The sequence below is a fragment of the Homo sapiens genome, chromosome 10 (genome assembly GCF_000001405.40).
Source record: "Homo sapiens chromosome 10, GRCh38.p14 Primary Assembly".
NCBI lineage: Eukaryota > Metazoa > Chordata > Mammalia > Primates > Hominidae > Homo > Homo sapiens.
The window spans coordinates 121,873,000-121,886,332 of record NC_000010.11 but is presented as its reverse complement, the minus strand read 5'-3'; the positions used below and the strand labels follow the sequence as shown (position 1 = coordinate 121,886,332).

The following is a 13,333-nucleotide window of genomic DNA, read 5'->3' as shown; positions in this document are numbered from 1 at the left end:
CAGTAGCCCTGGCCAGGAGGTGGGTTTTTTTTTTTTTTAAATCATCAATGTATTTTTGGTTTTTGTTTTTTATTTTTTGTAGAAGCAGGATCTTGCTATGTTGCCCAAGCTGGTCTCATACTCATTGAAGTTATAACAAAATGATGTTGAGCAAAGCAGTGCCACCTGAGAACCTGCTGGTGCTACAGGTTGAGTATCACTTATGTGAAAATCTGAAATCCAAAAATGCTCCAAGATTAGAAACTTATTGAGTGCCAACATGACAATCAAGGGAAATGCCCATTGGAGCTTTCAGATTTCAGATTTTTGGATTAGGGATACTTAACCTGTATTTTATAAATATTTAACTCTGGCATATAATTAACAGAATGATAGTAAGATCCGAACATTTTGAAACTTTTTAATATTTATTTAATATTTATTTATTTATTTAGAGACAGTCTTTCCCTCTGTTGCCAAGGCTAAAGCTCAGTGGCACAATCTCGATTCACTGCAACAACCACCTCCCAGGTTCAAGCGATTCTCGTGCTTCAGCCTCCCAAGTAGCTAGGACTACAGGCGCATGACTCCAAGCCCGGCTAATTTTTGTATTTTTAGTAGGGACAGGGTTTCACCATGTTGGCCAACCTGGTCAGGAACTCTGGACTCAAGTGATCCGCCTGCCTGCCTGCCTTGGCCCTCCAAAATGCTGGGATTCCAGGTGTGAGCCCCTGCACCCAGCCACATTTTGAAATGCTTTAGGCATGTTTTTTTTTTTTTTTTTTTGAGACGGAGTCTTGCTGTCACCCAGGCTGGAGTGCAATGGCGCGATCTTGGCTCACTGCAAGCTCCACCTCCCAGGTTTATGCTATTCTCCTGTCTCAGCCTCCCGAGTAGCTGGGACTACAAGCGCCCACCACCATGCCTGGCTAATTTTTTGTGTTTTTTAGTAGAGATGGAGTTTCACCGTGTTAGCCAGGATGGTCTCGATCTCCTGACCTCGTGATCTGTCTGCCTCGGCCTCCCAAAGTGCTGGGATTACAAGTGTGAGCCACCGCGCCCGGCCTCTTTTTTTTTTTTTTTTTTTTTTTTTGAGACGGAGTCTCGCTCTGTTGCCCAGGCTGGAATGTAATGGCATGATCTTGGCTCACGGCAACCTCCACCTCCCAGGTTCAAGCAATTCTTGTGCCTCAGTCTCCCGAGTAACTGGGATTACAGGCACGTGCCACCACACCTGGCTGATTTTTGTATTTTTAGTAGAGACAGGATTTCACCATGTTGGCCAGGCTGGTCTTAAACTCTGGATCTCAGGTGATCCACCTGCCTTGGCCTCCCAAAGTGCTGGGATTACAGGCATGAGCCACTGTGCCTGGCCTAAAGCACATTTTTTAAAGCCAGGCTAACTTACTTGAATAAAGTAGAGAGCTTAGGCAATTATTTGTATAATTCAATTAAGGAAGCCAGTTTCTTTAAGCAACTCCTAAGTCAGGGAACACTTGTGTATTGTAGTCTGTGTCAAGGTCCGTGACAAGACATTTATTACTAATAGTAGTAAAGACATTTATAACTAATAGTAGTTAAATGACCAAAGCTTTTCAGTCATTTACTATTGGAGAGAGACACTGTTATATCTCAAGCATGTTCCTTTTTGGGGAGATCCAAAGGGGTGGAGTCAAAACTAGCACTGGGAACATTCATCTTTCTTTCCTTCCGTTTCTTCTCTCCCTTCCACTCTTTTCCCTTCCTCCCTCTTTTTCATTGTTTGACATAGGCTCTTGCTGTGTCACCCAGGCTGGAGTGCAGTGTCGTCATCATAGCTCACGGCAGCCTTGAACTCCAGGGTTCAAGCAGTCTCTCCTGCCTTGGTCCCCTGAGTAGCTGGCACTACAGACATACGCCACCACACCTGGCCTTTTTTTTGAGAGGAGACCTTGCTGTGTTGCCCAGCCTGGTCTTGAACTCCTGGCCTCAAATGATCCTCCCAAAGTGCTGAGATTACAGGCATGAGCTACTGTGCCAAGCCAACATTTAACTCAAAGTTCCTTTCGGTCAGTAACTTCCTAAAACTTGTCTCAGATCACAAAATCATACCATCATACAACATTGGAGGTGAAAGGATTTTAGGATTATATAGATGAATGTCTCATATTTAAAGAATTAATTAATTTGCCTAAGGTAACATGAGTAGTTAGTGGCAGAGCAATGTCCTGAAATTGCAGTGCTTTTTTTTTTTTTTTTTTTTTTTTTTGAGTCTGGGTCTCACTGTGTCGCTCAGACTGGAGTGCAGTGGTGCCATCTCGGCTCACTGCAACCTCTGCCTCCGAGGCTCAAGCAATTCTTCTGCCTTAGACTCCCCAGTAGCTGGGATTACAGGTGCTCGCCACTACCGCCCGGCTAATTTTTGTATTTTTGGTAGAGATGGGGTTTCACCATGTTGGCCAGGATGGTCTCCAACTCCTGACCTCAAGTGATCCACCCGCCTTGGCCTCCCAAAGTGCTGGGATTCCAGTCGTGAACCACCGCACCCCAGTCTGCAGTGCTTTTTATACTAGACATGATGTTGCCATTTGTAAAAGTTAAAGTGGGCCTCAGTAAAATATGGAGTGATTGACATCAGTGAGTGAAGTGTTCATTGTAAGCAAATTTTCCAAGCATTGGAAACGTTTTTTATTGCTGAGATATTATGTACTCTAATAATTTAAAATGACAATGTTCCCAAAATGTCTTGTGTTCTTCCTCAGCTTCTCAAACAGAATGCCGAGCAGGACTTGCCTGTTGATAATGGCTCTCATATTTTCCTAGGAATATTCTTCTGCTCTTGTCGTATTTCAGTGTGCCATGGGCTACTGCTTTTATCTCTAAAGTTACTCTGTTGTCCCCTTTATCCTTTCTCTTTCTTGCTGACAATTCTTGTGTTAGTTTGTCTAGTATTAGCATTTGTTCCCTTTCTAATTTGTAATTTCTTAATATGCTCGTTAAAATATGGAGCACCTAAGTACTGTCGAGGCATTTGGTAACTGTTTAATCAGTGAGTAAATCAGATAAAGATCTCTTGCTCTTGTGGAACTTGCATTCTGGGGGTGTGGTTGGGGGAGAATGGTCAGAGATAGTCATTAAACAATAAGCATAATACATCAGTAAATTATACAGAAGGTTAGCAGGGGGTGTTGTGGGAAAAATAGAGCAGGTATAAAGGAGGGTTGGAAGTATCGATTATTGGCTTGGAAACTAGATCACCAAGTTTATTGTTAGTAAAGTTACAGTCAAGAGGAAAGTGGGAAAAGGAGCTTGCAGGACTCTTCTGTAAGTTGGGAATATAAGCATTAGGAGGTGCCTTTTTGAGTCCTCATTTTCACTTCTATTGTTTTTTTCTGGGGTTTTGTATTTGATTTCAATGTCTGAAGTTCTGGAGTAGCTTGATAATTGACCTCTGCTTAAGGTTTAGCTTTATATAACAATAATTATTACAATTAATTTGAACATACATTGTTTTCTGAAAGTTGAGGATTAAGACCATGAAATGGGATGTTAGCTGTCAAAAGGAATGCTTGGCATGAAATGGATGCTGATTCTTGATTAACCTCCTGCCTGAGAACAAATGTGCCCAGTGATAGACTCTTTGGATTGAATGGTGTGAAGGTGATATCAGTACTGCCAAACAGTGCTTGCTGTGTTTACAGTTCCATACATTTTGGGTCAGGATATTGTTGACATGAAGGCTGAGTAGCATCCAGGGTGAAAATGTGAACTCTAATCAATCATTTCTGCCTTAACTCTCATCTCCTCTACCTACTACCTGTGTGGCTTTCAGCAAGTTCCCAATTGCTCAGCTCTCTTCACTCCAGGTTCCTCATTTGTATACAACACAATTTGTTGTGATAATTACATAAGGCTATACTTGTAAAGGTGCTTGGCCAAATAATCATTGACTAAACTTTTGTTACTAGGTCTGGATGATGTTATTAGGAACTGTCAGAGATCCTGAGGTCAAGGGCAAGTAAGTGATCCTTCTGGTTACCCAGTCAGCATTTGCACATGAAATTTTATTTTTCTTGGTTGTTTTGTTTTTCTTTTTAATTCAAATATTCGTCTGAATTAAAAGAACATATGTTTTACATTTTAATATTAAAATCAGCCTATTCAAATAAAAAAAGAAGTAATATTCAAAACCACTCAGTTTGATTTATCAACATATAATTTTAGTCTTTGAGAATTTTTAATATTTTAATTTTTCCTTTTATGCCACAGAAAACCTGTAGGCCGGGCACGGTGGCTCACGCCTGTAATCCTAGCTCTTTGGGAGGCCGAGGTGGCTGGATTGCCTGAGTTGAGGAGTTTGAGACCATCCTGGGCAACATGGCAAAACCCCATCTCTACTAAAATACAAAAGAAATTAGCCGGGTTTGGCGACGTGCACCTGTAGTCCCAGCTACTCAGGAGGCTGAGGCAGGAGAATTGCTTGAACCCAGGAGGCGGAGTTTGCAGTGAGCCGAGGTCGTGCCGCTGCACTCCAGCCTAGGTGACAGAGCAAGACTCTTTAAAAAACAAAACAAAGCAAAACAAAAAACTTGTAAAGAATTTTTAATATGTTGATTCATCTATTATACCACATAAAACCTGTAAAAGATATCATTTGGGAAAAGATTTATTTGTGATTTTCTTTCCTTTTTTTTTTTTTTTTTTTAAGAGACAGGATCTCATTATGTTGACCAGGCTGAAGTGCAGTTGGTTATTTGTAAGTATTATGATCACTGTGCACTATATCCTTGAATCCCTGGGCTCAAGCGATTCTCCTGCCTCAGCTTCCCAAGTAGCTGGGACTACAGTCACGCTCTAGTGCCTAGTTTCTATTAAAATACGTGTATTTCTTAATTGCTTTACCTAGAACTGGAGACAAAGGAGCTATAGGTGTCCTGTTTTTTTATTCTGGTGGTAGAGCTTCTTGTTCATACAGGAGCAGATCTCTCGTTTTGATAAGTTAGCTATATTGGGGTACTGTAATCCATAGCATACTTTGTGCTCGTTACACTAACTTATAAAAATACTGTATGCAAGAGTCTGAAGAAATACACAATGCCCAGCAGAGTGTCTGGAATGGAGTAGAAGCCCAGTGAACATGTTTTGAATGAATGAGCAGCTGAGTTGACTACTTTTAAAAAAACAGCTGGAGAGAGAATTCAGTTGTTGCCAAATTGAAAGCTACTTGGGAAGAAAATAGTGTTCTTGAAACTTGTGACATGAAGCAAAAAGGAAAATTCAAATGATGTCATAAGCTTTTGACAGTTGTTCTACTATAATAAGTAAAAGCTGCTCTTAATTTCCTGAGTGAGAGTGTTGAGCAATTTACATACAATGAGTTAAGCACATTTTAGTGAGTGCAAAGCTCATGTGATAGAAACAACTTTGCTGTGAGTGCCATTTGTCTTTAGCTTTTGTATTTTAGGTCTGTTTTTCACATTAAAACTGAAGAGCATCAAGTTTTATGACCTCCTGGTAATCACTTGACAAGTGAACAATAGTACCTTTTGATGGCTAGTCTAAACAAGGAAAGTTTGTATTTTCACTATGGTCATTCATTATATATGCCAAATAATTTTAAGTAACTGCCTGTATGATTAAAAAGCAGTTGATTTTCATCTAGTCAGTAGTAGTTAATTATAAAAGTAAAACATATATTACATATGGTTATTTATCCAGAGTATAATTCTGCCCTTAAGAATATGTAAAAATAGGGAATATATTTGTATAGGTCTCTAAATATTTATATATATATACATATATATGTATATATATATTTGTGGGCTTTTATGTGACATTTATTCCAGAAATAGCTCAAAATTTTGTAATGGCTTTCATATTACTTTTTCCTGGACTGTGGAAGAATGTGATTCTTCTATTCAAGCAGTCATATAATCATTTAATTCGGGGCATGTTCCACTCACTGTGGTAGATACTAGGGATGCATAGATGAATAAGACATGTTTGGTTCTTGTATGTTTTAGCCCACAAATAAAATTTAAAATATAAGTGTCATTTCATAGCATTGCATTGATGTTAAAATGTTAAAGATCATTAGTAATACATGTACCTGACAAGATGTGGGCGTATTCAAACTTGCTTTACATTAGTTGGTCTGGTAAATTATGCAAGCAGTACCTGTAACCATTATCAATATGTTTATGTTAATATAGTCATTTATTCTTAATAATAATCAAATAGCTAATAACATATTCCATTTTTATTACTTTGACCAGATGGCATTAAAAACAAATTTGTCTTTATTGTGGTTTCCTGCTAATTTTGATTTCTTGGTTTTGTGGTATTTTCTATTTATCCCTAATTTATGTTATTTGGATTTTTGGAAGACACCCAATTTTTTAAGGTTAATTTGAAAGATTTTGCCTAGCCTAGTGTAATTTCAGTGATACCTAGTTTTGTCCTCCATATTTCTTGGTATGTATTCCTTGCTCCTCACAAATGGTATGTGCTGGAAGTTTTTCTGCAGGAAGCTAGTGCTTGGAGGACATGGATGTTCCCAAGAAGGTCTAACAAGAAGGGGACAGGTTTTTACTTCAGCATTACTGGGTCTTCCTTACTGGTGACTGCTTCTCTCTGTTTATGGAATCTCACCGTGACCTGATGACTTAATTCTATAGAGTAGCCAGGGGCTGTGAAGAAACATGGGAGAAAGAAACGATTATGAATATTCATTTACTCATTGATGAATTACTCCCATTCACAAATGAATGGATGCATTTATTCGTTGAATTCACGAGTAGTTGAATGCATGTAGACATTTAAGTAGCAAATATTTGAGTCCCTACTATGTGCCAGGCATTATTTTGGACTGAGGATGTAGCATAGGGAACAAGATAAAGTTCTTGCCCTCAGGGAGACTATGTGTTAGAGAGGAAGATAAATAATAAGTATGCAATATAGTGCCAGAGTAATGTGTGCTAGCAAGATACATGGAGGGATAGAGTGAGGGACAGCGTGGTGGAAGGTAAGAATAGATAAGGATATCAGGAAGAGGCTCAGATAAAGGAAGCTCGTTGACAGACACCTCTATAAAGAGCATGCACTTTGTGCATAGCTGGGGGAAGTACATTTCAGGTAGTTGGGAGAGTACCTGATGTTTTCAAAAAACATCCGGGACACTGATGAGGCCGGAACACAAATCATGGTGGCATCTGTCTTGATGATTTCTGTTGCTTGTGAAAGTTTTTTTAAAAAAATCCCCACCTATACTTTTTGCCATTTGTTAGCTGAATTTTTCAGTATCATAAAATTGTGTATTTTGTTGTAGACTTATTTTCTTGTTACCTAAACACCTATTTGTCACCTTATTTTAGTGTTATTTTAGTTAAGCTGAGACTCTTCTTGTTGGTATCTCTGGATTTTATTGCTTTCTTGTTGAGTTCTGGTTAATGGTATTGTTAAGTCCTTGGTATAATGAAGGGAAACCATAGATTGGAAAAGGTTTTGAGGTTCTGATGGTAATTTTGCTGTCTGTAAAATAATGTAACATTTTTGGATCTCAGTATGTAAAAGAGGTGAACTAGATAATTGCTAAGATATATCTTAGCTGTCAAATTGTGTGCTTTCACTGATTTTAGGAAAAATCCCCAGGTGGAACTATAGTTTTTTCTTCTTTTTATTTCCTTTTTTAAAATTAATTTTTAAGTTTATAGTGTAGTAAAGTGCATAAATCTTAGGTGTATAGCTTGTTGATTTTTTTTTCTTTTCTTTTCTTTTTTTTTTGAGACACAGTCTCCCTCTGTCGCCCAGGCTGGAGCGCAGTCGTGTGATCTCGGTTCACTGCAACCTCTGCCTCCTGAGTTCAGGCAATTCTCGTACTTCAGCCTCCCAAGAAGCTGGGATTATAGGTGTGCACCACCATGGCCGGCTAATTTTTGTATTTTTAGTAGAGACAGGATTTTGCCATGTTGACCAGGCTGGTCTCGAACTCCTGGCCTCAAGCAGTCTACCCGCCTCAGCCTCCCAAAGTGCTGGGATTACAGGTATGAAACAACACGCCTGGCCAAATTTTTACTTATGTATATGCTCTTATAGTCACTGCTCGGATTAAGAGAGAACATTTTCAGCATGCTAGAAGGCTCCCTCGTGGCCCTTCCCAGTCAGTATTTTCCTACCCAGAGGTTAACTACCCTTCTATCACTGTAGATTAATTCTGCCTGTCCTTTAGCTTCATATAAATTTATCATACAGCATACACTCTCCAGTCTTCTTTTACTTAACATTCTGTGTGAAATCCATGTGACATATAGTAGCAGTTTTCTTTCAATGCTATGTAGTATTCCATTGTGTGGATACAGCATAATTTATTAATCTGTTCTACTATTGCTGGGCATATGTGTTGACAGCTTTTGCCTGTTACGAATAAAGTTGCTATGAACATTCTTGTACGTATCTTTTGATGGACATAACACTAATTTCTCTTAGATATATACCTGGGAGTTACACTGCTCAGCCATGGAGTAAACATCTTCAGCATTTATAGAAATGTGGCCAGTTTTCCAGAGTGCTTGTACCATATAAACATGCTCGTTGTGCCACATCCTCATTAACATATGGTGTTTTCTGATGCTTTAGTTTTAGCCTTTCTGGTGAGTGGATAGTAGTATTGTATTGGGGTTTTAATTTGCTATTTGCTGATGACTAAATAGGGAGCTTTTTACGTATTTATTGGCCATTTGAATATGCTCCGTTTTGTTAAGTCTTTAAGAGTTTGCCCCCCTACCTTTTTAAAGTTGGATTCTTGTGTTTTTTCCTTATTGACTGTGAGAGTTCTCTATATTCTCTGATATGAGTCTTTTGATATATATATATATTCTAAATATCTTTTTCCAACCTGGAAATAACTATACTCCATACCTAGGAAAATATTATTTTGGAAGAATCTAATTTTGAAAGCCTTTGAGTTTTGGTACATTTCTAAACACTTAGCTTGCAGATCAAGAATGTCAGCAACAGATGTAAAGATTTCTCTTGTATAAAATTTCGGCCTTAGTGTTTACTTTAAAAAACCAGAAGGTGTTTTTTTCTCTTAAACATACTTGTAAAATTATTTCCATACTTCTTATGAGATGTTTTAGTATTTTGTGCTGGTATTTATTTAATGCAATTAACATATAGGCCTTAGGTCATTAGCGTCCTATGGCAAATGATCTTCCTGTTAGAGGAGCAAAGGATTCTGAAATCAGTACAGAATGCCACCAGAACCAGAGTCTTTCTTTGGTGGGTGTTCTGTTTGATGATTTTGCCAAGAACATGTTTTTCTTTGTGATTTTATATGAACTCTGTTTATGATGATTTTGTTTGCTGCTGATAATGTTGGAAAGCAACACAATTTTTTTTTTTTTTTTTGAGACTGGAGTGTCGCTCTGTGGCCCAGGCTGGAGTGCAGTGGCGCTATCTCGGCTCACTGCAAGCTCCGCCTCCCGGGTTCCCGCCATTCTCCTGCCTCAGCCTCCCGAGTAGCTGGGACTACAGGCGCCCGCCACCACGCCCGGCTAATTTTTTGTATTTTTAGTAGAGACGGGGTTTCACTGTGTTACCCAGGATGGTCTCGATCTGCTGACATCGTGATCCGCCCGCCTCGGCCTCCCAAAGTGCTGGGATTACAGGCGTGAGCCACCGCGCCCGGCAGCAACACAATTTTTTAAGATTCCATTCTTTTTGAGTGTAGCTCTTTAAGATATAGAATTGTTATACTGTTATCTGGATTTTATAGATTCATATTGCAAACTTAAAAGTTTAATTTTAGAAACAAACTAGGCTTGAAGGTAGTAAATAAATGATATTTTAACAAGTTCATATGTATATCATTGGTGTTAAGTATAGAGCCACCATTTCTATTTATAAAATATATGATGATTATTATAGTGAACGTAGGAGGTAGATATTAGTGAATAACCTAACTTACAATCCAAATCCCTGTTGCTGTTAGAAATTAGGGAGAAAGGTGCAAAAAATAGTAAAAAGATATTTAGTGAAGTAGCTCATTAATTAGGATATGTGTTAGCAAACTTTGAAATCAACATTTAGAGCAAAACATTTATAACTAGCTCTGCATATTAGTGTTTTATGGGCTTTTGTGATTCTGGGCAGATACTAGAATTTTTCAAGAGGCATTTTATTATAGTACATCTGTGGCATTGCTTTGAGCATTTGCCCATAACATCACCAGGAATATTATTGGGTAGGGACCAGAACTCTTAAATGGGGGAAAAAAAGGGCGAATAATTCATTGATAGTATTGGATTTTCTGCCATTTTTGAGAGTGCCACACTGAGTATTTTCAGTGAGCAATTCTAGTAAGCACAGATTGGGGAAAACAAATCAGAGCTGGTAGGGACCAGTGTTGCCTAAAATGAGCTTTGTGGAAAATGGATTTTGTGGAATGTTAATAGATATTATATGAAATTAAAAACAAAAATCTCTAGTCATGTAACTTTGGGAAACACTTGACTGAGGTTGAAGTAGAAGAGTTTTTTTGTTTGTAAATACAGGAATGTGAAAAGCCTTTAATATATCAGTGTAGCCTGCAATTCACTAAGGTAAGGAGGAAGGGGAGGTGAGGCCGCTATATAGTAAGAGCATTTCCCAGACTTACGTGGCCATGGAATCGTTTTTTAGAGAGTGTCTCAGGAGACTGCCGTGCCACAGGATACCACCTGGGGAAGGTGGTTTGGCTGAAATCCTTTTACACATCAAAAACCAAGACCTGGCTGGGCGCGGTGGCTCACGCCTGTAATCCCAGCAGTTTGGGAGGCCGAGGCGGGCAGATCACCTGAGGTCAGGAGTTCGTGACCAGCCTAGCCAACATGGTGAAACCCCGTCTCTACTAAAAATACAAGAATTAGCCAGGCGTGGTGGTGGGCGCCTGTAATCCTAGCTACTCGGGAGGCTGAGGTGGGAGAATCGCTTGAACCTGAGAGGCGGAGGTTGCAGTGAGCCGAGGTTGTGCCATTGCACTCCAGCCTGGGGGACAAGAGCAAGACTTCCTATCAAAAAAAAAAAAACAAAAAAAAACCAAAAAAAAACCCTCAAGGCCCAAATTACTTAAGTGGGTAGACCTAGGAAGATTCTAATCCTCAGGCAAAAAAGGAGATATAATGCTTCAGAAGACAAAGGTTTAACTATATTGGAGTGTAAATAAGATTTTTGTTGTCTTTTTTTTTTTTTTTTTTTTGAGACGGAGTCTCAGTCTGTCGCCCAGGCTGGAGTGCAGTGGTGCGGTCTCGACTCACTGCAAGCTCCGTCTCCTGGGTTCACGCCATTCTCCTGCCTCAGCCTCCTGAGTAGCTGGGACTACGTGCCCGGCTAATTTTTGTATTTTTTTTTTTTTTCTTTTAGTAGAGATGGGGTTTCACTGTGTTAGCCAGGATGGTCTCGATCTCCTGACCTCGTGATCCACCCGCCTTGGCCTCCCAAAGTGCTAGGATTACAGGCGTGAGCCACCACGCCTGGCTAATTTTTTGTATGTTTTAGTAGAGACGGGGTTTCACCGTGTTAGCCAGGATGGTCTTGATCTCTTGACCTCGTGATCCACCTGCCTTGGCCTCCCAAAGTGCTGGGATTACAGGTGTGAACCACTGCACCCGGCCTTGTTGTCATCTTTTAAGATGTTTTGAATCTTAATGTCTAAGGTGCCAAATGTAATCAGAAGAGGTAGCACAAACAATCCTTTCTGCTACGTTGCTTGCAATTGGGATAGAGAATAGCTATAAAAAAATGAATTTAGGGAATTACTTGAATCTGCCCTTTTTACTCCCCACTAATAGGTTAAATAAGATCTTCTCAAACCTTAGCTTCCACTCCTTGTTAAATACAGATTTAATTCTCATTCTTTTGATGACTTTTTAAATGGGCGCTAGCTGTGTCTTTTGGCTGCTTTGAAGGTTTTATTTGTCTGCAATGAAATATGAAACAATAAAACTTTTTTCTTTTGTGGAATCAAATTAATTTCTTAGAGTTGTAGATTTATCAGAGACATTCTTTACATAAAACCTAGTTTGCACTGCCTTAGAACTACCAGTTATTTATAGTGTAAATATGTGCCAGAAATTGAACAGGGATGGGAAGGGAGTCTAAAATGTTAAGTTAACATAATTTAGAGTCGTAACTGACTTAAGGCTTCCAAATTCCTGATAGAATTTAGTATTTTACAATGAGGTGTAATTTAGATTGATAATTGCAAAATTTTTAAATAAAGGTTTTATTAGATTATAATCTAAAATAATCAGACCTGTCCCCTGACAAATTATAGGACAGTAAGTGGAAGTAGGGTACAATAAGTGAAAAGCCCAGGAAATATAACTGGAAGTATATTTTGTTAATGTGAGGAAATTTTGGATATTTGATATGACTAGTTATAAGATTTGGAATTTCACTTTGGCAAATAGTGACACCTTACTGATGTTCCTTGGGTTAGGAAAAAAAAATGTTATTTATCTTTGTAAAAAATGCCTTTTGGTGTTGAGTGTTTCCTTTTTCTTTAAAAGATAGGAATTTAACCACGGTTACTTATTAAACAAATAAGGCATTTCAGGAGCAAAGTGGCTTGAATTATCTGTTGAATAGTTTATATTACAAAGAGAAAATAATTATCATTTTTCTGGTACCTTTTTTTTTTTTTTAACTTACCAAAAAGGAAGTCATTACATCCAAATTGCTAGGATCTTTTGACAAAATTAGCAGTGTATTTTCTTTGGTCCTTATTCCCCCTACCCCTATACTTAGAAAAAGAACTTACTGATTGTAACTAATAGGAGGTCTAACTACAATTTTGTGCACTTGGAAAATGGTTTAGAAAATTTTGGTAAGCATTAAGTGCTTCTTTGGCGGGAATGAGAAAGGATTATGTTATGAGTCAGGCTACCGATGATGAATAGAACAATGGTACCAGGCTTGGTAAATGAGAATACTTTAAGAAAAGCAAGGTCAGTAAGAAGCTGTGGAGCGTGAGCACTGTCTGTGTGTATCCTTTTTCTTTTTAGAGGCCTAGAGGATTTTGAAAATGGTACTGATGCCTTTTATGCCTGGATTCTAAATATAGACCATAATTCTTCAGTTTTTTAAAAAAAATTCAAGACTTGACAGAATAATTGGCATTTAGAATTTTTATAAATTTTATCAAGTGAATCAAATTGACAGTGTTATTAATATTGTTACAGGTAACTTAGCTGTTAAGTTTAAAAAGCCAAATATCATGCAGGTTATTCCTTTATTGAACTATGTTAAATCAAGATACTCCTAGAAGTAATCTTTAAAAGTGGGTACATAGGAAGATAAAGAATATGGCTATGTTAACCTACGATTGTTATTAGAA

The 13,333-nt window shown here is 38.4% G+C and overlaps 1 protein-coding gene across 36 annotated transcripts in view; it reads left to right on the top strand.

Annotated features, from left to right (window-relative positions):
• The window catches only part of ATE1 (arginyltransferase 1), a 188,040-nt gene that overhangs the window by 42,131 nt on the left and 132,576 nt on the right, over nucleotides 1-13,333 (top strand). Inside the window, exon 9 of one of the 36 annotated variants that reach the window (XM_017015603.2) lies at nucleotides 3,927-4,046. The exons of the other annotated variants lie outside the window; for them this stretch is intronic. Coding sequence (XP_016871092.2) covers nucleotides 3,927-3,980 — 54 coding nt within the window. The 3' untranslated portion in view covers nucleotides 3,981-4,046. Of the gene's footprint in view, nucleotides 1-3,926; nucleotides 4,047-13,333 lie in introns of those variants that run through there. 36 annotated transcript variants of the gene reach the window in all.